The 27,803-nt window shown below is 58.9% G+C and overlaps 1 protein-coding gene and 1 long non-coding RNA gene across 2 annotated transcripts, besides 5 other annotated features; one reads left to right on the top strand and one right to left on the bottom strand.

Annotated features, from left to right (window-relative positions):
- Positions 1-121: 121 nt before the first annotated feature.
- ONECUT3 (one cut homeobox 3) lies at positions 122-27,604 on the bottom strand. Its single transcript, NM_001080488.2, has 2 exons — positions 26,256-27,604; positions 122-5,957 (listed from the first exon to the last, which is right to left on the bottom strand). Exons 1-2 carry the CDS (start codon positions 27,445-27,447, stop codon positions 5,665-5,667), a joined length of 1,485 nt encoding a protein of 494 aa, NP_001073957.1. The 5' UTR covers positions 27,448-27,604; the 3' UTR covers positions 122-5,664.
- On the top strand, positions 6,760-11,343 carry LOC101928543 (uncharacterized). Its single transcript, XR_007067085.1, has 5 exons — positions 6,760-6,852; positions 6,943-7,074; positions 7,383-7,476; positions 7,570-7,667; positions 11,280-11,343. It is a non-coding gene; the product is annotated as an uncharacterized LOC101928543 (long non-coding RNA).
- Positions 12,798-13,492: an enhancer, noted in NCBI's record as "H3K4me1 hESC enhancer chr19:1767617-1768311 (GRCh37/hg19 assembly coordinates)". NCBI's record gives its function as "activates a minimal SCP1, AML or CMV promoter by ChIP-STARR-seq in naive H9 embryonic stem cells {active_cell/tissue: H9 hESC(naive)}" and the evidence as "EXISTENCE:reporter gene assay evidence [ECO:0000049][PMID:30033119]".
- Positions 14,787-15,308: an enhancer, noted in NCBI's record as "H3K27ac-H3K4me1 hESC enhancer chr19:1765801-1766322 (GRCh37/hg19 assembly coordinates)". NCBI's record gives its function as "activates a minimal SCP1, AML or CMV promoter by ChIP-STARR-seq in primed H9 embryonic stem cells {active_cell/tissue: H9 hESC(primed)}" and the evidence as "EXISTENCE:reporter gene assay evidence [ECO:0000049][PMID:30033119]".
- Positions 18,126-18,662: an enhancer, noted in NCBI's record as "H3K27ac-H3K4me1 hESC enhancer chr19:1762447-1762983 (GRCh37/hg19 assembly coordinates)". NCBI's record gives its function as "activates a minimal SCP1, AML or CMV promoter by ChIP-STARR-seq in primed H9 embryonic stem cells {active_cell/tissue: H9 hESC(primed)}" and the evidence as "EXISTENCE:reporter gene assay evidence [ECO:0000049][PMID:30033119]".
- Positions 22,731-23,318: an enhancer, noted in NCBI's record as "H3K27ac-H3K4me1 hESC enhancer chr19:1757791-1758378 (GRCh37/hg19 assembly coordinates)". NCBI's record gives its function as "activates a minimal SCP1, AML or CMV promoter by ChIP-STARR-seq in naive H9 embryonic stem cells {active_cell/tissue: H9 hESC(naive)}" and the evidence as "EXISTENCE:reporter gene assay evidence [ECO:0000049][PMID:30033119]".
- Positions 23,319-23,908: an enhancer, noted in NCBI's record as "H3K27ac-H3K4me1 hESC enhancer chr19:1757201-1757790 (GRCh37/hg19 assembly coordinates)". NCBI's record gives its function as "activates a minimal SCP1, AML or CMV promoter by ChIP-STARR-seq in naive H9 embryonic stem cells {active_cell/tissue: H9 hESC(naive)}" and the evidence as "EXISTENCE:reporter gene assay evidence [ECO:0000049][PMID:30033119]".
- Positions 27,605-27,803: the final 199 nt, after the last annotated feature.

Genomic DNA, 27,803 nt, shown 5'->3' with positions numbered 1-27,803 from the left:
GCCCCCTATCTGTGCCCGACCCGTCAGCTAACACACACGCCCAGGTGAGTGACTAGAAAATAATTTATTGAAGAAAAACAAATCAACAAACCCAGCACAGCAATGGTTAACAATGACGAGATTTTTTTTTTTTTTTAGCTTTTAAGCCTGTCGCCCAAGGGTGAAGGTGGAAAAGGGCTTCTCTCCCCTGTCCCTGGAGGGGAGGGGACTTTGGAGGGTCCAAGTGGTGTCTCCCCTGAAAGCAGCCCTCAGTTCCAGTCTATTCAAAACACTCAAGGCCGCAGGGCCTCCTGGCTCTTCCGTCACCCCCGGCTGAGCTCATTCCACCAAAACCAGCCCCTGCGTGGTCTGACAGGGCCACGAGGAGGAGCCCCAGGAGTCTACTGGCCTGATTTTGCTTAAACCGCTTGGGGCAGAGAATGTGAAATGGCCCAAGCTCCTGCTGGTGCAAGGAGCATCCTGGCCCCGGCATCATTTCAGATTTGAGGTCAGCTGAGCCCTCAGCCCCAGGCCCAGCCCTCCAGACCAGGGCTTGCTGCTTTATGGGGTGAGAAGCACCCCGTTTAGCTACCCCGCCCCCCCCTACTGGGGCCTGTCCCAAAAGCGGCCCCTCTCATCTCTCCCCTGCCGCCCTCTCCTCCAGCCTCTGTTCCCAAGCTGGCACATCTGTGCCCCTTTCCACCTCCAGGGACTATCTGGGGATGGCTCAGGGACGTGGCCTCATGGCACAAGAGGAGTCAGAGGCAGAGGACATTGTCCCAGAGCCCCCTTTGATGATTTTGGGGAGTCCTCTGTTCTGTAGGCTCCGAAAGTGGGCTGGGAGGGAGGGGTCTCTGCAGGCGTACACCCCCTGCCTCCCGGGCTGGACAGAAAGGCGGACTCATGCCCAGCCCAGGGAGGGAGGCCGAGGCTGTCTGGGTGGAGGTGGGGGGGGAGGGGGTGCTGGTGCCTGCTGTTGGGGCCCTCAGGAGGGTCCTTCAGATCTCAGGAAGTTGGGGCACACTCCCGTCCCCCACCACCCTGGGCAACAAGACAAGAATAGGCTGATTGTCTGTCTCCTCTGAACAAGACACTTGGGAATTCATGCTAGAGTGAAAGCAACCGGGTGATGGGGGGTTGGGGGGGTCTAAGATATCGATGACACCAGAGTGCCCCCAAGAACCAGGAACTGAGGGGGGGACGCTCGGTGGCTCCCGCCTGGCTGGGGCAGGCAGGTGGCATCTCGGGTGGAGATGGACAGGCAGGTGGAGGAGACCCGGCTACTGAGGCTCTGTTCCCGCCCCCTCTACCTGGGGCCCCGTCCACCTGTCCCGGCTGGACACAGTTCCTTAGAAAGGAGGAAAGAAACAGTAACGAAAAACCACTGAACAGCACCGATCAGGCACCAGACACACAGATGCGACACGGAACCGGGCCACGCCCCCCGCCCCCCACCCTGACCACTTTATTACAATTAGCGTCAAGAAAGAGTACATTAGTCATGCACCAACTCAAATTCCATTTTGTCTTTTTTTTTTGCATTTTTCTTCCTTTTTTTTTCTTAAATTACATTTGAACACAGAACACAGAGAATAATAAATACTCTTATAAGACATGACTCCAGAAAACAAGAAACAGAACAAGCCAGAGAACAGAAAGGTATACCTCTGCCTCTCTCTCTCCCTCTCCCTCTCTCTCCCTCTCTCTCTCTCTTGCGCTCGCTCTCTCTCTCTCTTCCTTTCTTTCCTAAAGGACTCATTTAAATAAGAAATCTGTAAACGCCACTGGTCCTTTCTGCCGCAGTCTCTCTCGCGATCACGCTCCCTCTAACTTTCCCTCTGGTCTCCAGCCCTGACATTCAATGCGTCTCCCACGGAACTCGTCAAAGAAACGACATGCCATCGTCTGCAAAATTATAATTTAACGGTATAAAGCTTCAAGTCACGTATTCCAAAAACTAGCTAAGGATTTTTTTTTAATCACATAAACTATACATTAAATATTTTGAGGTATTTCAGAGAAAATTGTCAAAGGCTCGAAGGAATTGTGCTGGAGGTGTTGATCCCTGCATGGAGAACGCATGCTCTTTGGTATGTGACAGCCAAGTGGGCATGCGGGGAGGCAGGAGAGGGCCTGAGGGGCCGGCGGGCAGGTCGGGGATAGAGCCTTCTGTGGGGGTCTGGCCAAGTTTGGGGTGGGGTCCGGAAACAGGTAGGGGTGTGTGTGTGTGTGTGTGTGTGTGTGTGTGTGTGTGTGTGTGTGTGATACGAAGATATCTGAAAAGGATCCAGGAGTCCTGGGCCACTTTATTTATTTTTTTTTGTAGAAGTGGGGTCTTGCTGTGTTGCCCAGGCTGGTCTCAAACTCCTGGCCTCAAGCGATCCTCCTGTCTCGGCCTCCCAAAGTGCTGCTGGGCCACTTCTGTGACCAAGAGGCTTGACCTGATCTGACCACAGTTCAGCATAGCTAAAACATTCCACAACCAGAACGATCCCAAGCCAAGTCCTAAATTTCCAGCAGGGGACAAAACTGGAGGCCCCCTAGCGTGTTACCCTTGGGGCCTTGAAGGCCAAGCAGAGGGCATCTAGGAGACCCAGCACCCCGCCAGGCCCGTGCTCCGGCCAGTGCCTGAAGCCCAGGCATCGATTTTCTAAGAAGCTCACTGGGCCAGGGCTGCAGCGTGATTCTCTTGGATCAGAAGCATTTTATTGCCTTTGAGAGCCTCTTCCTCCACTAAATGTCTATCTACCTGTAATCCTAGCACTTTTGGAGGCCGAGGCAGGAGGACCCCCTTGGGGCCAGGAGTTCAAGACCAGCCTGGGCAGCATAGTGAGACCCCATATCTACAAGAAATCCCTTAAAAAATTAAATGGGCATGGTGGGGTGTGCTTGTGGCCCCAGCTACTGGGAGGCTGAGGCAGGAGGATCACTTGAGCCCAGGTGGTCGAGGCTGCAGTGAGCTACGATTGCACCACTGCACTCCAGCCTGGGTAACAGAGCAAAACCCTGTTTCTAAAAAAGAAATTTAAAACATTGTATATCTATAGGCTACCTTGGTATAAAGACAAATAATATGGTATGTTGAATGGGGTGCATCTTCTTGGACCTAAAGTTTTTTTTTTTTTTTTTTTTTTTGAGAGGGAGTTTTGCTCTCGTTGCCCAGGCTAGAGTGTAGTGGCGCAATCTCGGCTCACTGCAACCTCTGCCTTCCAGTTTCAAGAGATTCTCCTGCCTCAGCCTCCCAGGTGGCTGGGATTACAGGTGCCTGCCACCTCGCCCAGCTAATTTTTTTGTATTTTTAGTAGAGACAGGGTTTCACCATGTTGGTCAGGCTGGTCTTGAACTGCTGACCTTGTGATCCACCCGCCTCGGCCTCCCAAAATGCTGGGATTCCAGGCGTGAACCACCGCGCCCGGCAAGACCTAAAGCTTTTTAAAAAGAAATTAAAACGTGGGCCCTGGACCTGCTGGGCCCATAGGCTACGTCAGTCCGGCCTGGAGTGGACAGGACAGCTCTAGGTTCATCCATCAGGAATTTAGGGGTGGGGACGGGAGAGAAATTAAGGCCCAGGTTTTAGTGGGAGGTGGGAGATACCGAGTTGCTGGCACCCAGTGACACCACAGAAAAACAGGGGCCAGTGTGTGTATGTGTGTGTGCATGTGTATCTGCATGTGTGTCTCTGTGTGCGTCTGCGTGTGCCTGCATGCGTGTCTTTGCATGTGTGCATGTGTGCCTGCGTGTCTGCATGTCTCTGCATGTGTGTGCACGTGTGTGTGCATGGGCCTGCATGTGAGTGCCTGCATGTGTGTGTCTGCGTGTTGTCTGCATGTGTGTGTCTGCATGTGTGTCTGTGGGGGGGTAGAGAGGTGCGGTGCTGAGCAGGAATGGGGACCCTTTCTACTATTGGGAACCCCCCAACACCCAAATGTTCTAGAAGCATCACTCAGATCCGGTCGCTTGGAAAGCTGGGAGCAGAGCAAGTCGATAAGGACAAGAGAACACTCCATACACGTCTTTGGTTCAAGAAGAAGGCACTCTTCGACCTCACGATCCTCTCCCTCCCTCTCTCCCTTTCTCTCCCTCTCTCTCCCTCTCTCTCTCTCTCTCTTTCGCTCTCAGGTTCGGGAAGGGGTGGCACTCGGCAGGCGGGGCCCCGAGCCGGGTCCCAGGCCAGGGAATCCTGTCATCCAGCACAAATCCTTGGGAGAAATCTTTGGTATCAGGCGTGATTTTCCAATCACAGACATGAGCTTGAGTGAGGTAGCCTTTACCTGGGGGAGGGGAGGGGCATTTCACTAGAAATGTCTTTTGCATTTTCAAGGGGGGTAGGGGGGCCGCCTCCTCCCTGGGAGGCAGCCGATGAGTGGGGGGATTTCAGGGAGGAGGTTCCTTCTAGACTCGGATCTTGAACCCCCGGAGGAGGCGGGCTCCTGGGATCCCGCGGCCGGCCAGTCTCGGAGGTCACCCAGACCAGATGAGAGGAGCGGGGGAGAGCGCGGGGTGGGAGGGGGGCGCTCATCTTCATTTCCGACCCTTCCCATTTGTAAATATTTTTGGCAAAAAATGGAGCAAGCGGAATCCACCTTCCTCGGCGTCTTCTCTCTTTGGCGAGAGTGGAAACCAACACCACGTTCAACCCCGCTGCCCCCCTGCAAGCCCAGTTCAGACCCTGACGCGGGCGGAAAGGGGGGCGGTGGATTCCAGAAGGTTCCACGCAGGAAGCGTCTCCACGGGCCCGTGCAGAGGGGCTCCTCCGGGCGGCCCCAGCGGCGCCTTCTCCGGCCGGGTCCCCTTCTCCTGGGAGCCTGGGCGTGGTCTCCCGTGTCCGGAGCTGCGTCCTTCCTTGCGCTCCACGAAGGTGCCTAAAGGTAAAGTGAACTCAACAGACGGGGCGGGGCGGGGGCGTCTGGAATTTACCCGCACGTGGGAGCCCCCCGTCCCCTGCGGCCTGGGATGGGGTGGGAAGGGTGCTCGCCCGTAGGTGCTGGGCGCCCGCCGCAGGCCCCTCCCCAGACTTTAAGGCAGGCGATTCTTGGCACGAGGAATCCTGGCCGCAGAGAGGGGCAGCTCAGTTCTCGGCCGCAGGGGCCGTCCTGCCAGCGGGTGGGGTTGGTTTTGGAGAGGGTGGGGGACCGTAAGGATCCGGCTTGATGTGGGTTTTTGGCGACTTTGGAAAGGGCTGAGGTCCCTGGGGAGGGGGCCGGGGCGGGTGGGGAGGAAGGAAGTTTTCTACTACCTCCCTCGGTGGGGCAGGGGATCTGACGGAGGAGGGGTTATTCTTTAAAATTCCATTTTTAAATACCCGGTTTATATTTCTAGTATGTGCTTCTTGACCCGCTTTAGGGGACAACACAGTGAGCCCTGGTTTTTCTCGAGGCCCTCTGGGCGTCCTGAATGGAGAGGGGGCTGGGAAACCCCTTTCTGTCACTCCCTCCCCTCCGGGGGGGGGTGGAGGGCTTCCTTTGGCCTGGAGGGAGTGGGCATGGAGGGAGGAAGGGGGGCCCTTTTTGTGCACTTGGGCTGGGGGGTGTGCTGCTTCCCCCTCCCCGGGTGTGGGGGGCCCGGATAGCACCCCCTCCAGGTGCCCCCTGGGGGCGGGTCTCCGGGCCGGCAGGATGTGGGGAGGTGACGTGGGGGCACAGCGCCCAGGCCGTGGAGGCAGGGAGGGCGCGGGGCCGGGGCGCCTCAGGCCTTGGAGAAAGTGGCCGTGGCGCCGGCGGGGCCCCCGGGGGCCGTGCTGGGCTCCTCAGCCCAGCGGTTCATGCAGCGGCGCCGCGCGTTCATGAAGAAGTTGCTGACGGTGTTGAGCTCCAAGCCGAGCTGCTGCGAGATGGTGACCTGCATCTCCTTGGACGGCCGCTTGTTCTCCTTGAAGATGGCGATCAGCGTGCGTCGCTGCAGGTCGGTGAACACCAGGCGCTGCTTCTTGGGCTGCAGGGCGCGCTCCTTCTGCTGCTCCTGTTCCTTGCGCTTGCAGGCTGCGGGCGAGCGGCGGGCGGGCGGGCGAGCGGGACACAGCGCCACCGTGTGGCCGGCCGGGGAGAGGCAGGAGGCGCACGCCGCCCGGAGGATGAGGAGGAGGGGAGAAGGGACACGTTGGGGAAAGGCGAATGCACATAAGGTCCCAGGGAGAGCCCAGAAGCAACAAGAATGCAGGGAGAGGCGGAGGGGGAGACAGCGGGGAACACAGGGACGCACAGAGACAGAGACAGGGAAACAGCAAGGTCAACAGGGAGACAACAGGAAAGTCCAGGATGCAGCCAGAGGGCGGTGGAGACAGAATGGAAGGCGAGGACAGGCAGGGAAAGCAGATGCGGTGGGGGTGGGGGGAGGACAAAGAAGGGGACACAGTGTGAGTGCCCCTCTGCAGGCATGGCTACCACCCCCTCCAGCCCCCTTCTCCATGGAGCCCACTCAGGCACCCCCCAAGCCTCATACCCCCCAAACCCCGTCCTACCCTCAAACGCTCCCTACCTAAAGGACCACAGAAATTGATATTGGTAACTTTCTCCTCTCCTTTCTGCAGCCCCAACCTGGGGGTGTTGGGGAAATGACATGGAAACTGCACATGAGAGTTTTTGGCTCAGTGTAGACTTGGGTGAAATAACTGGTTAATTACTAGGTCCTGGGGTGCATCACAAAACCCAGCAGCCTTCCCCAGAAATGGTGGGCTAACCAGGGCCTTTCCTTTCTTTCTTTTCTTTTTTTTTTTTGCGGAGGGGAAGTCTTGCTATGTTGCCCAGGCTGGTCTCGAACGCCTGGCCTCAAGTGATCCTCTGGCCTCAGCCTCCCAAAGCACTGGGATTACAGGTGTGTGCCATGGCAACTGGCTGTGACAACCAAGCTCTACGAATGAGCAGCAGCGACACTCCTGTAAGGCCTGATACCCTTAGGGACCCTGTGAGTCCACAGCCCAATTCCGACATCTGAATCCCTGCCTCCTGCTCCTGCCCCTATCCACAGGCTGAGACCACCCAGACTTGGCCTCCCTCGAGCACCCAGTGGACCCTCTGGAGCGCAGAACATCTAAGAAAGAAGACTTTGGAGGAGGAGGGGAGAGTGCAGGGACCACCTCTTCCTCTCCCAGATGAGCAGGTCACCCTTCCTCTTGGTCAGCCCGCACAGATCACGGAGAGGGCTGAAGGAGGCTGCCCCATGGCCTGCAGACCAGACACTTGCAAAGGGGAGAAAAGCAAAGGCTCGGGGTGATGGGGCAGGGCTGAAGCCGAGTCCTGCTCTTCCTGCTCCAGCAGCGAAGTGAACCCCTCCCCTCAATGCAGTGGGTGTCAGTGGGTACAAAACACAGGCTTCCCCCACTAGGAGCTGGGCCACAAGTCAGATGGGCTCATTTGTGGCATCAGCTTGAAACTCCATCAGAATCTCAATTTCTCTCCTGCATCCAGACTGGGACTGTGGTGCTGAAGAGGCTGTCCTGCCCTTGTCTCCATCCCGGAGTTCCAGCTACTCTGTGACCCCCAGAAGTGGCCGGTGGTGCAGGTAGTACTAGTGGGTCTCTGCTCCCAGTCTCTTCTCTGTGCCAGCCGTCGTGGCCTACTGGAATGGCACAGAGAGCTTTTCTTTTCGTTGCAGAACAGCCTGGAACATGACATGCTAGATCAATGTCCATACACGTCCACAGAAATAAATGAATGTTCCTTCTGCCATGACTCATGTCTCGGGGACAACAGGTTCACCCGTCTAGGGTGTGAGCTGACGCACACTTCACTCCCTCTGACCTGGAATGTGTGGGGCTTCTAACTGCGGTTTCAGGTTTTATGATTAAATGCAAGTGATGCCTGTGGGTTACTGCACATTTTAGAAAAGCGTCTAACATGAAAAAGAGAGGGAGAGAGAGAGAGGGAGGGAGGCAGGAGGGGGGAGAACAATGGAGAAAAATGGTTTGGTGGGGGAGGAATAAACTCAGAAGGAACCGACAAGGCAGGCAAAGCTATAATTAATATTCCCAGAGGAGTAAGAGAAAAATATCGTATCCATGAAACAAGTACAGGATGCTGTTAAGTAAAAGGGACCATTAGAGAGTGAGGAAATGCTCTTAAAATGTGAATATATAACAGCCAGAGTAAAATAATTCCATGTAAGGACTGGAAGATAAAGTTAAGCAGATATTGGCCGGGCGCGGTGGCTCACGCCTGTAATCCCAGCACTTTGGGAGGCCGAGGCGGGCGGATCACGAGGTCAGGAGATCAAGACCATCCTGGCTAACACGGTGAAACCCTGTCTCTACTAAAAAAAAAAAAAAAAAAAAAAAATTAGCTGGACGTGGTGGTGCATGCCTGTAATCCCAGCTACTCGGGAGGCTGAGGCAGGAGAATTGCTTGAATCTGGGAGGCAGAAGTTGTGGTGAGCCAAGATCGTGCCATTGCATTTCAGCCTGGGCAACAAGAGTGAAACTCCATCTCAAAAAAAAAAAAAAAAAAAAAAAAGAGTAAAGCAGATATCCCAGAAAATGGAACACAAGCAGCTGCAAAGATGGGAAATGAAAGAGAATAAAAAGTTAGAGGATGAATTAAGATGAAGCAGGGTTGTCACCTGATCAAGAGACAGTTCAAAAATAGAGGAAGAGATGATCAAATAATGAAAAAAAATCTAGCGTTGAAAGATGAGTTTCCAGTTTAAATGTGGTCAGGTGCAGTGGCTCATGCCTGTAATCTCAGCATTTTGGGAGGCTGAGGCAGGAGGAACACTTGAGGCTGGGGGTTCAAGGCTACAGTGAGCATGATCTCACCACTGCACTCCAGCCTGGGTGACAGAGTAAGACTCTCTTTTAAAATAAATAATTTTTAAATATAAATAGGCCCACTGGGCATGGTGGCTCATTCTTGTAATCCCAGCACTTTGGGAGGCCAAGGTAGGTGGATCGCTTGAGGTCAGGAGTTCGAGACCAGCCTGGTCAACATGATGAAACTCTGTCTCCACAAAAAATACAAAAAAAATTAGCTGAGTGTGGTGGCAGGTGCTTGGAATCCCAGCTACTGGGGAGGCTGAGGCAGGAGAGTCGCTTGAACCCAGTAAGCAGAGGTGTGAGCTGAGATCACACCACTCACTCCAGCCTGGGCAACAGAGCGAGACTCCGTCTCAAAAATAAATAAATAAATAAATAAATAAATAAATAAATAAATAATAACTAAATAGGCTGGATGAAGTGGCTCATGCCTCTAATCCCAGCACTTTGGGAGGCTGAGGTGGGAGGATCACTTGAGCCCAAGAGGTTGAGAGCAGCTTGGAGAATATAGTGAGACCCCATTGCTACAAAAAATTTAAAATTAGCCAGGCATGGTGACTCACACCTGTGGTCCCAGTTATTCAGGATGCTGAGGTAGGAGGATCATTTGAGCCCAGAAGGTCAAGGCTGCAGTGAGTTATGATCATGATACTGCACTCCAGCCTGGATGACAGAGCGAGACCCCAGCTCTAAAAAAATGGGGGTGGGACATCAAGTCCTCAGCTCATTGAATGAAAAAGACACTCAAGCCTCGTTGTTGTGAAATTTCAGAGCACCAAGAATAAAGAGAAAATCCTAAAAAGCGCCTAGAGGAAAGCCAGATGTCATGCAAAGGATCAAGAATCCAAGCAGCTTTGGGTGTGCAAAAACTAGCAGACAACAGAGCAAGGCTTTCAAAGTTCCAAGGAAAAGTTATTTTCAGCTAGAATTGCTAAATAACAAAAGACCAAACATGAAGGTGCAATAAAGATATAATCGGATGTTCAAGGACTCCAAAACTTAACTTCCCACATACCCTTTCTCAGAAAGCTACTGGAGGATGTGTTCCATTCAAACGAGGAGGTAAATAAAAAAAGGATGGTGTGGGATTCAGAAAATGTGATCCAACCTAGCTGAAAGAGAAAAGGGGTCCTCCAAATCAGGATGAGGGGGACCCTGGAAGACAGCTAGACAAAAGGACCCAGGGTATGGAGGGCAGCCCCACCCAGATCAGAGATGACCTAATATGTGTGGAAAGTCCTATTGAGTTGGTTTTAAATTTTGTTGGGGAGCGTGGGAAGAATTTTTGTTTGGCAGCTATCAACTCCTGGAAAACCAAAGAGTTGTACAGGAAAGGAAATGCAGTCCTAGTACTCTACATGGCTCAGCTGTGGACAATGTTTTCCAAAAGCGTAATAATGTTAATTACTAAATGTTAATTTAGGCAACAGACTGTATTTGTAATTATATTGAGAGACTGACAGAGAGGGAGAGTATGGGTATGAATCTGGAAAGATGGCAAAGGAAATCCTGAAGGGTGAACAGTGTACCAGGGAGCCTTTTATGTGTGAAAGGAGAGACAAGAACCTATGTTTATATTTTATCTGCATAAAGAAACATGGAAGGAAATGCAAAAAACTGAATTGACCTCTCACCTCTTTGGCACTCGGCCACCCTATGAGGATTACAGGAGAGGACCCAGTCCTCCATTCTTTCAAAGGGAAAGCTGAGTCAAAACTCAACCGGGGCCTTGAAATTCCAAGGGAGGCCCTTCTCGCTCACCTGTTGTAATGTTTAATTCATTCACTCACTCATTTATTCATTCACTTAGCAATTTACTCACAAATTTATCCTACATTTACAGTAGGGACAGAAATACAAATGCTCCTCAGAAAGCTCACAAGAGCTTTGTGTCAAGAGCTTTATATGTATCTGGTCACTCAATTCTTAACAATAATTCTTGTTTTGTTTTGAGACAGGGTCTTGCTGTGTCGCCCAGGCTGGAGTGCAGTGGTGCAATCATGACTCACTGCATCCTTGAACTCCTGGGCTCAAGCAATCCTTCCACCTCAGCCTCCCAAGTAGGTGGGACCACGGGTGCACATCACCACATCTGGCTAATTAAAAAACAAAAAACAAAAAACCCCCACAAACATATATATATGTTTTTTGTTTGTTTGTAGAAATGTGGTCTCACTATGTTGTCCAGGCTGGTCTCTAACTCCTGGGTTCAAGCAATCCTCTAGCTTCAGCTTCCCAAAGTGCTGGGGTTACAGGCATGAATCACAGTACCCAGCCTCAATCCTTACAATAATTCTACAAGGCAGGGGGTTTTCTCCTTATTTACTCAGAGAATGTGAGCCACCCCTCAGGCTTGCCCAGCCAGTCCCAATAGGGCAGCCCAGAAAACAGAGTCCACTGGCCTAGATGGGGGAGGGAGGTAGGATGCATATCGTCCCTTTCCCACCCCACCTCCCAGGCTCCAATCTGGTGCCTAATGGGGACCCCAGAGGCAGAGGCTGGGGGAGGGGCCGGGCCAGGCAGAGTCTGAAAAAACTTCCCGTTTTGTCGATTGCAGCAAAAAGAGGCTCTGCTGCCCCCCTTCCCGGCGTTCAATCTAATTACAGCTCCTCACAGCCCAGATCGATCCAGTCGGAGCTGTTTACCGCGAGCAGCTTTGTCATTGCTCCCATCCCCCACAGCCGCTGACAGAGGTGTGAGTTGGAGTAGGGGGGCCGCCTGGATGCCCCCTCTGTGCATCCCCTACCCATCACCACCGCCACCTGACCCCCGCCAGCACCCCACCCAACATCAGGTTCACCCCCACACCAATCCTAAAGGCCACCCCTGTGCCAACCCAGAGGCCATGGTGGTTATGGACCCCTTGTGCAGAAGTGAAAACTGAGACTTGGAGAGAAGGACTGATGGGGTTCAGAGTGGGGACGGGGGTGAAGCCCTGGACTTGGCCCTGGTACCAACCACCAGCCTCATGCTGCCAGGGCCCACCATTGCCACCTCTGCCACGCGACCTCCACCAGCCTCCAATGAGGTCTCCACCTCCGTCCTCTCCTCCACCATCACTCCTGCACCACCAATGTCAGTGCTATCCCATCACACCCTCCATATCACCTCCAACTCCAGCACCTCCTCCTCCTCCACCACCTCCAGCACCTCCACCTCCTCCTTCATCACCTCTTCCTTCACCACCTCCACCTCCATCACCTCCACCTCCAGCACCTCTTCCTTCACCACCTCCACCGCCACGACCTCCACCTCCATCTCCATCACCTCCACCTCCAGCATCTCCTCCTCCATCACCTCCACCTCCACTTCCACCACCTCCACCTCCAGCAACTCCACCACCTCCACCGTCACCTCCACCTCCACTTCCACCTCCACCACCTCCACCATCACCTCCACCTCCACTTCCACCTCCATTACCTCCACCTCCAGCACCTCTACCTCTACCTCCTCCACCTTCACCTCCACCACCTCCACCTCCACCACCTCCACCTCCACCACCTCCACCTCTACCTCCGCCACCTCCTCCATCGTCTCCACCTTCCACCCCCATCACCACCTCCATCACCTCCACCTTCCACCTCCCCACACCTCCTCCATGACCTTTCTTTTACTCACCCCCTTCCTCTGTTTTCTTCACCTCCCCCTGATTTCCTTCATTATCCTCATCAACACTGCTGAACCCCATCCTGGGATTCTCCTAGTATGTGGCCAGCACTGCATACTCAGCCCCTGGTTCCATCACCAGCAGCTCCCGACCTGTAGTCGGGGGGATAGAGAGTGGCCCCCAACACAGACCTTGGCCACCAAGCTGGCGGAGGAGTGGGGCGGGGCCAGGCTGTCAAGCTTGCTCTGGGACCCCAGGCGAGTCCCATTCCCTTGGAGGCCTCAGTCCCTTCCTTTGTAAAGACAGTGCGCCCCCTTCAGGCATGTCCCGGTGCAGGCCAGTCCTTCCTGGGCTCCTGAGCTCTTCCAGCCGCTTCCCTCTCCCCATCCACCACCAGCCGCCTCTCTGTCTGGCCTCCCCCGCTGGCCTCACTCACTCAGCTCCTTTGCACGACGGTTCTCTCTGCCTGGTTGCTCTTCCCCAAGTCCCCTCCCGCCCCCCTCAGCTCCTTCTAGTCTCTGCTCAGGTATCTCCTTCCCTGCGAGGCTACCCCAACACCCCTTGTCTAATCCCACAACTCTCCCTGTCACCCCTGCCACACCCCTTCTTTTTACAACAATTCACCTGCTCTGTCCAGGGGCCCCATTGAGTGAGGGTTTGGGTCCTGACAGGATGCCCACTCCATGCAGCCAGCCCTGCACCTCCTCCAGGACCCTGGGGACTGAGGCCCTGATTCCAGGAGCAATCACCCCCGAGAGGCTCTGATCTGAGGACTCCAGGTACACCACCCATCCCATCTCCCCAACGGTTATCAGTCTTTTTGGAATCTAAGGATGAGGAGGATCTGGGGCTGGTTCCTGGGGGTCCCCGGGGCCCTGGGAGGAGATCAGAGATCAACTAGAAGAGACGGAGACCCCATGCCCACATCTGAGCCCATGCACAGGGAGCCCGGCAAACGCAGTCATGGTGGCTTTACTGTAGCATCCAGCCTCCCGCCCCAGGGCACCGTCCTGGGCCTGCGCCGCCGCCCCCAGCATCAACAAGGGTCGTTTTCTTTTCTGGGCAGGTGGGATCAGGAAATCTCTGGGCGGGGAGGTCCCGGGGATGTGGCCGCCCCTTCGCTCAGTTATCCCTGCTGTTCCCGCTGTGTCCAGCAGAGGGCAGCCGTCCCCGCCCCAACCCAGGAAAGGGCGGGGGCTGTAGGCTGTGTCTCATGCGGGGGAAAGGGGGCTGGACTGGGGGGAGACCCTCAAGTTCCGGATGAAGGCGTTTCCTGCAGACCCCTTGGGATTTGGCCCACACACACCAGCTCTATCCCACTTCCTGCCTTTCTAAAAGTTGCTGGGGACAGCCAACCACCCCGGGGCCCAAGAGGGTGGTCTGACCTGCTGCCCTCTTGGGCCCTGCCTGGTGTTGGACCATCTTAGCCTCAGTTTCCCCAACTGTAAGATGGTCTTGATCATGGTTGGGCTGTGGGGAAGGGTCTAGCCAGAAAAGTCCTGAATGAATACGGCAGGGCTAACAAGAGGCTCCCAGCTCCCATCTGGGGGTCCCTGAGAGGAGCTGGGCTCTGGGCGACACTTGCCTTCCAACCACGAAGTTTCCCCCTCCCTCAAGGAAGGCCTTGAGCCTCAGGTTTTCTCTCAGGATCTTCCTGGAGAGGGGAGAAATGGAGAAACTGGGGCCAAGAGTAGAAAGTTGGGTCACTCCAGCCAGAGAACTCCTACACATTCCTCAACGCCCAGGAGCAATGGCCTCTCCCCAGGAAGTCCCTCCCTCCCCCCGCAGCGGAGCCCGGGGCCCCTCCTCTGGGACTCCCAGGGGCCACTGTTCCTCCTTTTAGCCTCGTGGGGCCTGAGATCTTTCTGTGGCCCAGCACAGAGCGGAGGTATAGCAGTGGCTGAGTGAGTGTGCAGTGACTAACATGTTCCTGGGTTGTCCTACACGAGGGTGGTGGAGCATGGGGGGGGGGTCTCAGCCCAGCCTGCAAGACCCTGCTGCGGAAGACCAGTAGCCACTGCCCTGGAGCGCCGGGTGGGACAGTGGGGCTCCCCGAGTGCCCTCAGCAGGAAGCCAGTAGCTGAGTAGGGGCCCTGAATTCAGTCATTGCTGCAACCCAAGCTGGGGCCCACCTGTCAACCCCCATCACCCTCCAAGAGGGGACCATCCCCTCTCCTCCTCCTCACCCCTCCTTTTCCACTCACCCTCCCTCCCTCTCCCCTCTCTGCTCTTTTCTTTTCCTCCCTTTCCTTCCCTCCCTCTCTTTACCTCCCTCCCCTCTTCCCCTTCCTTCCCTCACTTCCCTTCCTTCCCTCTCCCCCTCCTCCTCCTTCTCTCCCCCTTCATCCTCCCCTTCATCCAGAGGCCTTTGGAGGGGCTGGGCTTGTAACAGGGAGGGCTTCAGGATGCAGCATCCGCCTCGCCCCTGAAGGCGGGCCCGTGGGTGCCTCTGCGCGCGCCTGACGTTGGCCGCGTGCGGGCTGAGGGTGCCAGCCTCCGTCCACCATCGGGTGTGCCCGCGTGGGGCTGCCTGAGGCTTCCCAAATGTCCCGGCGGGGTGGAGGGCGAAGTCTGAGCGAGGTGCTGTGGGTGGGTGGGTGGCGCCTGCACGGGCGCTCAACCACGATGGGGGTCGGCAGCCTTGCACATCCAAACCCCACCCAAGTGAGAAGCTAAGAAACCTGTGACCGTTAGGAAAGCTGTTCCAGTTCTGGGCGGGAAAACCGGCATCAGCTTGTGGGGCCTTGGACGGGCGGTGGATGAGGCAACGGATCTTGGTGTGACATCCCTGTGTGGGATGCAGCTGGCTCGCGGTGTGGACGTGAGACGTGAGAGCTGTAGGGTGTGCAGGGTCTTGGGGTGAGTCTGGGTGTCACCCCGCAGAAGCCTGCGGTGTGGGTTACGCATCCATGTCCGCCCAGCCCCAGGGTGGGCTCCTCTCTGCCTCCCCCTGCTCCCCTCACCACTGCAGCCATGGGGACGCGGGTGGGCTCTGCGGGCCGAGTGGCCTTGAACGCGCACCCTGGCCTCTCTGGACATCAGGTTCCTGGTTTATCAAGTGGACGCAGTGACCCAGAGCCCTGTGTCCCCACCGGGCCGCAGTCCCGAGAGTCACGAAGGAATGAACGCCGAAGCACGGACCTGCAACCGACTCATCCATTCACCATTCAGGGAGCAGCTGCTGCGTGAGGCCAGAGAGAGGCAGCTCCAGGAGCTGGCCTCCACTCACAGTCACAGGACAGCGTGAAGCGGCGGCTGCCTGGGACTCTGTTCCCCAATGAGGAGGCCAGCTCCGCTCTGAGTCCAGGAAAGGGGGAGAGAGGACGCCTTTGGGTGGGTACTGGAGGGGAGGCGCGGGCTCCACTGGGCTCTCTGAGGCCTTCGAGTGGATACACTGCTGGCTGGGAGGGAGGATGGACCAGAAGACCAGGCCCAGGCTTCGGGACAGCTGGAGGGAAGGTCCCTGAATCCCAGTGGACGCCAGCAGTGCTGGGGGCGGCACGGCAGGAGAGACACAAGCCAGGGTGGCACCAGGACGGGAGGGATGTGGAGGCTCCTGGGGGGTCCCCAAGGTCCAGGGAGGAGATCAAAGAGCAACTAGAGGAGATGGAGACCAGCTGGGCAATGCCCAAGGGAGAAGAAGACGCCCCAGGATGCAGCAATGGGCGATTCAAGTGACCATCCCATGTCCCTCTGTGCCCGACAGTCTGTACAGTGCCCCAAACCACCAAGCCACGTGAGTCTACCCCGCTGTGTGCCCGTCCTCCCTGTGTCCTGGAGCTGGAGATCCCCTCCCTCAGCCACCTCTGGCTTCAGGGAGCAGACAATTCAATATGGAGCCCGGTCTCCGGCTGGGATGATGACCGGTTTCCTTGGCGACGCGTCCTGTCCCCGCCACCAGCTGCCCTGCCCCAGATGTGGGTTGTACTGATGCCCCCCACCCCCATGCTGGTGTCTTGTCCCCCCTGCGCATCCCCCCCCCGTGGCCTCTCCAGACTCGAGTCAGTGGGTGACTTGCCCAAGGTCACATGTCCAGTTACTGTGGGGGGCCCGGGTCACATACCTACACCCTCTGTCTACACCCTGCACCCCTCGGGGAGCTGGAAAATTGATTCCCATGGGTGGGAGGCAGTGGAACCTTCTCCAAGGAGATGGGGCTGAGTCATGCCCCAGGCGTGGACCCCCAGAGGCCTCCCCAGCCCCTCATCTGGCCCCACTCTGTTCCCACTACCCCTCCACTCTGGGTGGCTTACCCTCCCCATGCCTGCCCTGCCCACATCTCACGCGGAGCCCACCTTGGCCTCAGCAGGCGCCCAGCCTCCCTCTTGTCCCCACCCCTCTCCCTCCAGCTTTCCCCGCCAGCCTCCCCTGATGGGATTTTAATGACTGCATTTTCAAATTAGTTCTGAGCCTTCAAAGACTTAACCGGGAAACGCATTTCCACTTGGACTCTCGGGCTGTCCCTCCCTCGTGGCTCCATCTGGAGGCTGGGCCGCCATGGGGTGGGGGCATGGGGGTGTCAGGGGGCACCTCTCACCCTCGGACATTCAGCTACAGAGACCCACCCCATTCAGGCACCCTCAAACAGGAGCAAAGCCAGTGGGCAAACACACGCACGCACAAGGCGTTGATTTTTAAAAAAAATGTTACGGAGACACAGCGCCTGCAGTGGGAAATGGATTTGAAAAAGATGACAGGAAAGGAATCAGTGATAAGAAGCGGCTGAAGCGGCCACCCAGAAAGGGGCTGGGGAGGCTGACCCAGCGTTTCAATTATTGGGAAATTAATCCACAGATAAACTCACACTCGTAAAATGATCCGCCCCGGACGTATTCATTGCAGCCGCTATGGTGACCGCGAACGATTGGAAACAGCCTAAATGTCAGCGGGGCGGGGAAGTGGTTCAGGAAAACCTGAAACCACCGCCGAGTCAGAGAGTACTAGGCGGCCGGCAAAAATGACCAGGATGCGCGCTTCACGGATCTGAGCCGGGGGGAAGAATCTCGGAGCATCTGAAGCTCCCCTTTCTGTTAAAAAAAAAAAAAAAACAAAAAAGGGAAATAAAAAGAATTTATCCCTGGAGCGCAGCCTTTTGCAAGAAGGAGAAATACAGACTGTGATTTGCAGAAGGGAGGGCAATGGAAGCCACCTCATCTTGCATTGAAATTCGGAAACTGGCGAATGCGTTAACTATTGTAAAATCATGTCGATTTATTTATTTGTTTATCATTTTTTGAGACAGGGTCAGCCTGTGTTGCCCAGGCTGGAATGAAGTGACGCAGTCATGTCTCACTGCAGCCTCGACCTCCCTTGCTCAAGAGATCCTCCTGGCTCAGCCTCCTGAGTAGCCGGGGCCACAGATGTACACCACCACATCTGGCTAATTTTTTTTTTTTTTTTTTTTTTTTTTTTTTGAGATGGAGTCTCACTCTGTCACCCAGGCTGCCGGAGTGCAATGGTGCAATCTCGGCTCACTGCAACCTCTGCCTCCTGGGTTCAAGCGATTCTCCTGTCGCAGCCTCCGGAGTAGCTGGGATTGCAGGCATGTGCCACCACGCCCGGCTAATTTTTGTATTTTTAGTAGACATGGGGTTTCGCCGTGTTGGCCAGGCTGGTCTCGAACTCCTGGCCTCAGATGATCTACCCACCTCGGCCTCCCAAAGTGCTGAGATTACAGGCGTGAGCCACCGCACCCGGCCACATCTGGCTAATTTAAAAACATTTTTATAGAGATGCGGTCTCCCTATTGCCCAGGCTGGTCTGGAACTCCTGGCCTCAAGAGATCCTCTTGCCTTGGCCTCCCAAAGTGCTGGGACTACAGGTTTGAGCCTCCCCGCCGGGCCAAAAGAATGTAGAATATTTTAGGGAACCAGGGAGCAAAAACAAGGGAGGTGGAGGAGGGGAGGAGGAACGTGTCTTGTCCTCCCACTGCGCTGGAGCTGAGCGCACCCAGGACGGCCGCGGTTCTGGGGCGCCAGACAAGGAAGAAGAACACTCGCGCCTGGTGCGGCGCGGTTTCCCCTGGGGTGGGATGCGGGGGTGGGATGGTGGGTGCCTGCTGGGGGCTGCGCTTTCCTGCGGAGCCCGCACCAGTGACCCTGAGGCTCCAAGGCCGCGGGCGCGTGGTCCCGGGTCCCGGGTCTCCTGGCGCCGGGGCACGTGCGTCCAGGTCCTGTCAGGCTGTTGGGGGCCGGGCGCGCTCTGGGATCCACACACCCGCCAAGGACCGATGTGCGCAACGCGGCGGCCCCAGCCCGACTCCGCAGCTTCCCGGGTGCTGCGGGACGGCGTTTGCTGGGTGATGGAAACTGAGGCACAGTCATCCCCCCAGCAGGTCCTTGGACGGGAAAGGGCGCTTGGAAATGCGTGGACCCCTGCTGCCCCGCAACTAGCGTCCCCAACTCGCGCATCCCACTCACTGAGGGTCTACTCGACCTTCCCAAAGCCCCAGCTCCAGGGAGGAGAGCCCAGCAGCTTCTGTCCCGACTCCCAGAGAGGAGGGCAGGAGGGCAGGAGGGCAGGAGGGTTGGAGGGCTGGCGGGCGCAGCTGGGGGCGCGCGGAAGGCACGCAGGACCCCCAGCAGCCAGCACGAGGGTCTCCAGATGGCGCAGCCACTGCGTCCAGGGGGAGATGGGGCGTCTTCCAGATGTCCCCGCACCCCACTTAGGGGAGTTGCTGGCTCAAGACTGCCAGAGGGCGGATGGGGGTCCTGGGTCAGTCTGCACTCGTCCCAGTGTGAACGGAGGCGTCTACACACGTGTCTCCGGGTGCGTCTACACTTGTGACCCGGGCACGCCTCTCCAGCAGCCTGTGCCAGGCACATCTTCCAGTCTTTGTTTCTCTCTTCTGTGAATCTGTGGCTCTGAGGTCATGACTTGGTAGCTCGGAGGGGTCCCCCATCGCCCCCCACATCTGCCCACACTCGGGACTCAGGAGGGGTGCCGGTTTCTCAGCCCCTCTCACATTAGCACCTACTTGGCAGAGGGAAAACTGAGGCCGTAGGTGTCCCAAGGCTGCCCAAGGTCAGGTGGGTCTCCCTGGCTCCTTGTTCAGCCTCTCCCCTACCCCACCAGTGCTTCCCTCCCTATTGATCAGGGCCCATATTTAATTAAGAACTTGATTCCACCCAGCGCCAGCTCTCCCGGGTAAGCCGGGCTACCTGCCCGGCTCAGCCTCCCTCCTAACAGCTGCTCAGGACTTTCCCACCTCCCAGCCTTTGTCCCTGCTGGTCCCACCGGCCAGAAGTCCCCTCCCACATCCACGCAGGAGGCCAGGGTCAGGCACTGTAGGCCACCACAGGAAACCACATTTATATTTTAGGGCTCTGGGGAGCCACGGGGCAGGGTGCCAACCCGGGGTGCCAACCCAAAGTGGCCATGCAAAGCTCCCTTAGGATGTGGGGGAGACGGCAGTGAGAAGGAGGAGAAGGCTGGGCACGGTGGTTCATGCCTGTCATCCCAGCACTTTGGGTGGCCGAGGTGGGTGGATCATCTGAGGTCAGGAATTTGAGACCAGCCTGGTCAACGTGGTGAAACCCGGTCTCTACTAAAAACACAAAAATTAGCTGGGCGTGGTGGCTCATGCCTGTAATCTCAGCTACTTGGTAGGCTGAGGCAGGAGAATCACTTGAACCTGGGAGGCAGAGGTTGCAGTGAGCCGAGGTTGCGCCACTGCACTCCAGCCTGGACGACAAGAGCAAAACTCCATCTCCAAAAAAAAAAAAAAAAAAAAAAAGAGCAGGAATGGAGCTGGGAAGCCATGATGGAGGTGGAGGAGGAGACCACCATAGTGGTTTAGACTAGAGTGGTAATGGTTGTTGGAGAAGCAGCACGGAATGGGAGGGAGATTCAGAGAGAAGAATGAATGGTCATGATTACTTCTAGGACTTCAGGCTAAGAGGACTTCAGAGCCAAAGGCCAGCTCCAGCCCCTCACCACTCAAGAGACTCCCCCAGACTCCTCTGTGTTGGGGGCGAGCGTCCCTGTCTCCCAGGCTACAGAAAGGAATTATTGGGACCGAGGCTGGCGTTGGGAGGGGGAGGTCTGCTGGGAAAAGCAAAAGCGGGGATGGTCCTGGGGGCTCTGAGCTGGACTCGATGAGGCTGGGACCTGGCCCCCCCCCACCGCCCATCCTCTCTGGGAGTCTCCGGTGGTCTCCCAGGTGAGAGGACTCACATGCCCACAACATCATCATACTTGGAGGAGCTGGGGCACAGGGGGAAGCGCAGCGCAGGCCTCACCACCCCTAAAGGATGTGGCTCCTGTGGGGTGGGGAGGTGGAACTGGCCGGTCACCTGGCCCCACCTGAGGATCGGCCAAGTGGCTGAGAACGTGGAAAGTGCCACCCCCCGCCCCCCCGCCGGTCCCTTCTCTGTGGTCCTTGACCTCAATACACCTCCAAGACTTCGTCCCGAAGCGTCACCTTCCTGGAATGCTCCCCCATCTCTGCTGGAGGTCAGGGAGCCTGGGCATCTCCAGCCTAGTGTTAGGCCCACCAGACTCAGCGGGGTCAGAGCAGCCGAAAGCCACGCCCTGGTCCTGTTACGGCCCCTCCTAGCGGAAGCTGACTCCGCATCAGAAGCAGTGCGGGGCTCTGGCAAGCGCCTTTCTCTTCGGCCTCAGCTTGCTGGTCTGTAGGGTGGGCATGGGAACCGCATCGGGTTCAAAATGTCGTTCCGGGCAGGTGAGCTGAGGAGGAGGGGAAGGGCTGTGGGCATCCAGTGGGACCCCTCCCCATCTCCCTCCCCCTCTGCACGGGAGGCGGGAGCCTGATCCCTGATCCTGGCCCAGGTCCCTAGCTAGGGCTGCTCCTCCCCGGGCCCTGAAGTTTTGTGGGAGGGTGCTGGTGTGGGGGCACCAGAGTCACCTGAGTCTCGCGCGCAGCCCCACGTGGGTCTGGTTCTCGTGGCCCTGGGCACGGTCTCGGTCTATCCACACTCCGTGCATCCCTGTGGAAACCTACGGTGGCCCCTTCAGACCCCTGAGCCCCTCCAGCCCCTCATACCCCCTCTCCTAGGCGTCATTTCATTCTGCCCATTTCTCAGATAAGAAAACTGAGGCTCAAGTCCTTTTGCCAGGGATCAGCCAGGGACAGAGCCCAGGGAAGGCCCGGGTCTCCAAGCCCCCAACCTTGGTTATCTCTACTGTCTAGTGGCGTGGGGCATATTTTTCTGGGGGTGTCCGTAAGAGGCGTGGACCCCTTGCAGTGGAAAGTGGGGTTTTTGCAAAAGGCACAGGGGTCTTTCCCTCTCTCCTCTCTCCCCTTCCTTCCCTCCCTTCCCTCTCCTCCTCCTCCTCCTCTCCCTGCTCATCCCTCCCCTTCATCCAGAGTTTGGGTGGGGGTTCCAGAGTGCTTGTGGGGGGTGGACACCTGTCCCTTTAAGGGGGACTCCCAGATTGCCTCGCCCATTTCAACCTCAGCCCTTGATGGTGGCAGCGGGTAGGGGGGAGAAGCCGGGGAGGGAGGGCCTGTATGAGCCTGGGTGGGGAAGAGGTTCTGCCTCTTTTTCCTTTCCATGTCCTTCCCCTCAGGTCCCCAGTCCCTGGCATCCCCCCTGCTCACCCACCACCAAACAGAGGTGCCCAATTCCTGCACCAGCTGCCCTCAGCATGCAACTCCATACACAGCTCTGGTTTTTGTCCCTAGGACACTTCGTTCTGCTTAAGGGCAAAGCATCCCATCCACCTGGGGTGGGGGTGGGGGGTCCTCCCTGCCTCAGTTTCCTCCATGCTGGGCTCCACCATCCCTCAGGGATTCTGGGCTCCTGCCTCCCCATGGTGCCCACAGGAGGAGATGAGGCCCTTCTTTCAACCACCTCCATCTAACTTTGTATTATCTATATACGTATTTTTTTTCTGATCAGTTACAAAAAATACTTTTCCTCCGGAGTTGCAATTTAAACAATATTTGAAGACGGCCGAAGCTATCGACCCGGCGACGGTGATGAATTAGAGACGGTAATTCGAATTCATCGACCGCCCCCACCCCCGCCGAGGAGCCCGCCCGCCCCTCCCCCAGCCCCTCTCCCATAATTACTGTTGGAGACGGCGCCAGGGGAGAGCTTTGACCAGGAGGCAGCTCCGAAGTGCGGGACTCGGAGGACCATGGGGTGGGGGTAGGGTGAGGCTCCCAGCCCCATGGGAATGGGCTTGGGGGCTGCAGGACTCCCAGACGACGGGGTCCAGAATCTGACAGTGTCAGACCCAGAATTCGGCCCACCACACGCACATTTTACAGATGGGTAAACTGAGGCACGCAGAACGGGCAGTGGGGCCGGGACTCCGAGGTCTGCGGTGGGATTTCTTGCGTGCTTTGGTGAAACAAGGAAAACACCTATTCCCCTCTCCCAAGTCCTACCCCATGGGGAAGAAGGAGGGGGCTGTGGGAGGGCGGGGGTGGACACAGAGGCAGCCTCCAGCACCCAGAGTTCCTCTCCCATCTCTGTCTCTCTCTCTCTCTCTCTCTTTTTTTTTTTTTTTTGGTCTCTCTGCCTCTCTTTTCGTCTCTCCTTCACCTCTGTTCCTTTCTGGGCTTCTTTTTCTCTTCTCCCCGTCTGTTTCTCCCGCTCCCGGTCTCTCCCTCCCCACTCTCTGGTTTTGTCTCGCGACCCCTCCCTCTCTCTCCATCTCCCCGTCTCCCCCTCCCTCTCCGTCTGCACCTGCGGGTCTTTCTCCCTCCCTGTCCCCGTCTCTGTCCTGGCCCCGGCGCCCGGCAGGACACTCGGCACCTGCGGAAACGCGTGGCCCGCCCCGAGCCGGGCAAGCGCGACGGGAGACCCGGGGCGCAAAGTTCTCCTTGGAGGAGGCCTGGGGAGGCCCGCGGTGCTCGCGGAGCGGGGAATGGGGATGCCGGAGTAGAAAGGGCGGCGAGTCCTCTGCTGCGGGGTTGAAATGGTGCGGGGGCGGGGCGGGGGCAGAGTTCCCTTTCCGAGCACCAGCGTTGGGGCGTCGCCGTGTTAGGTGGAGATGGGGACGCATCCGGCCGTCTCCCCCTAACCGCCGCGATTTGCCGCCACTTAACCGCTTTTCATTTGCGCAGCGACCGGAACTAAAGGCCTGGGCCGGAGCCTAGTGACCCCGCGGCCCTCGCCCCCGCCACCTCTTACGCCCCAGGCGGAGTCCGGTGGTGTAGACGCGGCCCCCAGGGCACCTGAGACGCGACAGGTGCGCAAGGTTGACGGCGTGAACCCCGCGGCCGCGGGGCCGCGCGGCGGGGCCACGGCGTGGGCAGCGGACCCGGCAGAGAGCAGGCGGGCAGCGTGGTCCGGGTTTATCATCCTCAACGCCCCAGCGCCCTGCGGGAGGCTCGGGGTGCCAGGAGCTGCGCTCACCCCTCCGGTTCCCCCACGCACCCCTGAGACGGCGACTGTTCTAACTCTCCCTTCCTCGACAGGAAACCCAGACTCCCAGAGCTGAGACTGTTTGTCATTGTCACAAGTCAGGAAGGCGAGGCACAAACGGAGCCTGTTTCCCCATCTGCAACTCTCCCCGTGGCAGAAAGGGGACGGCGGAGGCCTGGATGGCTGTGGGGTCGGCAGGAGCGAACACCCACCTGGGTGCAGGGTCAGGTGCAGGCGAAGCAGGCGGTGTCCACTCAGGGCGGGTGCTGGGTGCTGCTGACCCGGCTGCGGGGAGCCCACCCCCCCCCCATGGGACTTCTCGCCTGCGGTTTGCCCTTCTGTGACGCTCTGGCTGATGTTTTCTGTGGCCCCCAAATCTGCAATTCCAGTACTGCTAATGGGTCATTAGTTACATAACGTGACAGTGGGAAAAATGGAGAGTGGTGTGGACTCTGGGTGCACCCACGGTGGACACAATGTCCCCCAAATATGTGCTAGAGAGGAGGCAGGAGGTGGTGGGTATCGGGCTATAGAAACTGTCCCTGCCTTACTGGTGTGATGGCAACCAGTTGGTGTTTAAACGTCAGAGGGAGGCCCGGCGGGGTGGCTCAAGCCTGTGTAATCCCAGCACTTTGGGAGGCAGAAGCGGGCGGATCACCTGAGGTCAGGAGTTTGAGACCAGCCTGGCCAACATGGTGAAACTCCATCTCTACTAAAAATACAAAAAAAAAAAAAAAAAAAAAAAATAGCCAGGCGTGGTGGCGGGCGTCTGTAATCCCAGCTATTCAGGAGGCTAAGGCGGAAGAATCGCTTGAACCTGGGAGGCAGAGGCTGCAGTGAGCCGAGATCGCACCACTACACTACAGCCTGGGCGACAAGAGTGAAACTCCGTCTCAATAAATAAATAGAGCTGCCAGGGGTGTGCCCTCTGCCACCTGAGGCCTCGCACTGCACCTCGAGGGCCGTGGCTGTGTGCGGATATGACCGCCGGTCTATGGTGAGCGCACGAGTGCCGCTGTATGTGTCATGGGGAGGGGAGCAGGACAGACTGAAATCGTCCAGGTTCCCGGACCTCCCTGAGCACAAGGTTACCCTGCCACACGCGAAAGACTATTTATTTTCCCGTGCCCCAAAGCAGAAAAATCTAAGAATCCCATAAGAGGTTCCAGCTAGTCACCTTGCTTGCTCTGCAGAAGGGGGAAACTGAGGCCGGCCTGTGGGTCCAGGCTCCCAGGGGGTTGTCTGGTCCTCCTGGGGTGGAGGGAGGGAATGGCTTTCTAGGGAGGAACAGCACAGGACACCCCGCTGTCCTCTCTTCGCCCAGCCCCCCTGCCTGGACGGGCTGCCTGGGGGCACAGCCGCAAGCCCCTCTGCCTCTTTGCTAGTGGGGCGCCTCCCAGAGCCCCCGCCTTTCTCGCCCTTGTGCTCGGAGAAGCGATCGATCAGGCGCCAGCCGCCGCGGCTATTGTCCCTGTGGCCCGGGTGGACAGCCCCCTCCCCAGCACCACCAGGGAAAGAAACCCCCACCTAGGCCAGGGGCCCTCCTGCACCCTTACACCCCCACCTAGGAAATGGGGGCCTGGCCGGGCTGCCTGTCAGAGGGCAGGTGTGGACTTAGCTGTTGTCAGCTGGGAGGGAGGAGGGAGGAGGGTCCCCAGGGGGCCGGTGGCTGAGTATGAGACAGAGACAGAGGCGGAGAGACCGACAGGGAGAAGAGATAATGAGCAGGAACAAGAGCAAAACGGAGAGCAAGAGAAAAACATAGAGATACCAGTGTGTTCCGACCGAGAGAGGAGAGAAGTGGACATGAGAGACACAAAACCCCAAAGCCAGGCGGGCAGGGGCGCGCGCACCCGAGCCACGACCAAACTGCGCGGGGCGGGCGCCGGGTCGGGGTGTGAAGGCCTCCGGGCGGCGCGGGCCGAGGGTCCCCGGGGCCGCCCCTCCCCCGCCATTCTCGGGTGACCTTTGCCAGCGGCCGGAGGGGAGAGGGAGGGGGTATCGATCGCGGGGCCGAACTACAAAGAAGCGCGCGCTGGGGCAGGTGGGGGGATGAGCGCGGGCTCGGCCTCTGCTGCTGAGCTGCAGGCGCCCGCCGCAACGTCTCGGAGCTCTGTGGCCCGGGGCTGGGGGCTCAACAGCCCCTCTCCACCCACTCTGGAGGAGGGGAGTGGCACCTTAGCCGACAACAGCAGCTCGTTCGGGGACACAGCTCCCCCCAACAGGCGCGCGCTCACACACACACACGCACACACACAATGAGCTTCCCTGAGGGCTGCTTGGGGAGAGGCTCGGAGCCTCCCAGCAGTCTAACAAGGACTAGAGAACCCCTACGCGCTCCCGAAAGGGGCAGAAGCGGCGACCGGGGGGCGGGGAGGCGGCACAATCCCTTTCTCCCTTTTGGCAACGGTACAAACGGGCAGCGGCGCGGATCGCGGTCTAGCTTCCTGATAGGGGGTCCCGGGCTGCCGGGGCGCACGGGCGGGGCTTGGGGCGCTGGCCCCGGGCATCGGCCGCCGCCCCGCTAGGTGCTCGGGAGTCCAGAGCCGGCGCCCCCAGGGTCTGGCCCTGCGCGCCACGCTCCTACCTGCCAAGCGCAGCGCCGACATGCGCTGGAACTCTGGCTCCTGCAGCCACTTCCACATCCTGCGGAAGGTCTCGCGGCCGGATTTGAGCTTGCTCCACGGCTTGGGGTTGCGCAGCAGGTCGGAGAGCGTGCCCTGAGAGCGACACAGGATCCGCTGCGCGAAGATTGCCTGCGGGATGCTGTAGCGCTTCAGCTCCGCCGTGATGCGCTGCGCCACCTCCTTGGTGTTGATCTCCTCGGCCGCTGCGCCCGCGCTGGGGCCGCCGCCGCTCCCGCCGGGGCCGCCGCCTCCCCCGTGCGGCCCGTGCGCCCCGGCCGCCGCCAGCCCGCCCAGCGGCGCCAGCAGCCCCGCGGCGCTCCCGCTGCCCGCTCCGCCGCTGCCTGTGCCGCCGCCGCCTCCGGGCAGCCCGCGGGCCAGTGCGTCCTCCGCGCGTCCCAGCAGCGCGGCGTGCGGCTCGAAGGCGGCGGGCGGCAGCAGCTTGTCCCCAGCCAGGTGGCCTGGCGGGCCGTAGGCGGCCAGCGGCGGGGGTGGTGGCGGCGGCGGGGGCTGCGGGGCGCCGTGCAGCGCGGGCGGCAGCGCGTTGGGCAGCGGCGACAGCGGCGACCCCATGGCGGGCAGCTCCTTGCCGTAGGGTCCGTAGAGGTGGCCCACGGAGGCGAGCGCCGCCCGCTCGTCGCGCATGAGGGTGAAGCTGCCGCTCACGCTGGCCGCCAGACGCTGCGGCGGGGGTGGCGGGGGCGGCGCGGCCGCCGGGTGCGGGTGCGCGTGGGGATGGCCGCCGTGCGCCCCGGCCACGGCCGCGGCCGCCGCGTGCTGGTGGAACTTGTCGGCCACGGCCGCGAGCGGCGGCAGGTGCTGCAGGGGCGTGAGCGTCGTGTAGGTGCCGCCCAGGCCCGGCGCCTCGCAGGCCATGCCCATTGCCGGGTGCAGCGGGCCCGCCAGTTCCCCGCGGAAGTCCGCGCCGCCGCCCGCGCTGCCCGCGCCGCCCGCGCCCCCGGCGCCCCCACCGCCGCCGCCGCCGCCGCCGTCCAGCAGGCTCGCCATGCCGGCCACCAGGCCCGGGCGCCCGGGCGCCACCAGGCCGCGGTGCTGCGCCGCCGCCGAGCGCGCGTGGCCCGGGCTCAGCAGCTCGCCCGCCTGCGCGTGGGCCACGCTGTGCAGGCCCCCCAGGCTCTCCAGGCTCAGCTCCATGCTCGGCTGCCCTCCCGCCGCGCGCGCTCCTCAGCGCCGGCCCCTAGTGCTCAAGGCCGCTGCATGACTCCCGCCCGCTCCCCGGTGGCTGCGCGCGAGGCTGCCAGGCTGCGCGGCGCACGGCCCGGCCCGGCTGCGAGCGCGGCCACCAGGATGTGGCAGGGGAGCGGCCGCCGGCGCCCGGGCCCGGGTCTGACGTCAGCGCCCCCGCCCACCCGCTCCTGCCACCGCTGCCTCCCGCAGCCTCGCTCTCCGCCCGCCCCGGCCCCACTCGAGCACCAAGCAGGCCGAAGTCGGCCAGACTTGGGGCTTCGGCGTCCCTGGCCACTGCGCCCGCCCGCGCCCGCTGGGGCAGG

This window comes from Homo sapiens, chromosome 19, assembly GCF_000001405.40.
Source record: "Homo sapiens chromosome 19, GRCh38.p14 Primary Assembly".
Classification (NCBI taxonomy): Eukaryota; Metazoa; Chordata; class Mammalia; order Primates; family Hominidae; genus Homo; species Homo sapiens.
Note: the sequence above shows the minus strand (reverse complement) of the source record. Positions and strands in the feature narration are given on the sequence as shown.

Coding starts and splice junctions, on each gene's coding strand:
- ONECUT3 (NM_001080488.2), bottom strand. CDS start 27,447: ATGGAGCTGAGCCTGGAGAGCCTGGGGGGCCTGCACAGCGTGGCCCAC. Junction 5,958..26,255: donor GTCGGCGCTGCGCTTGGCAG/GTAGGAGCGTGG, acceptor GCTCGCCCGCAG/CCTGCAAGCGCAAGGAACAG.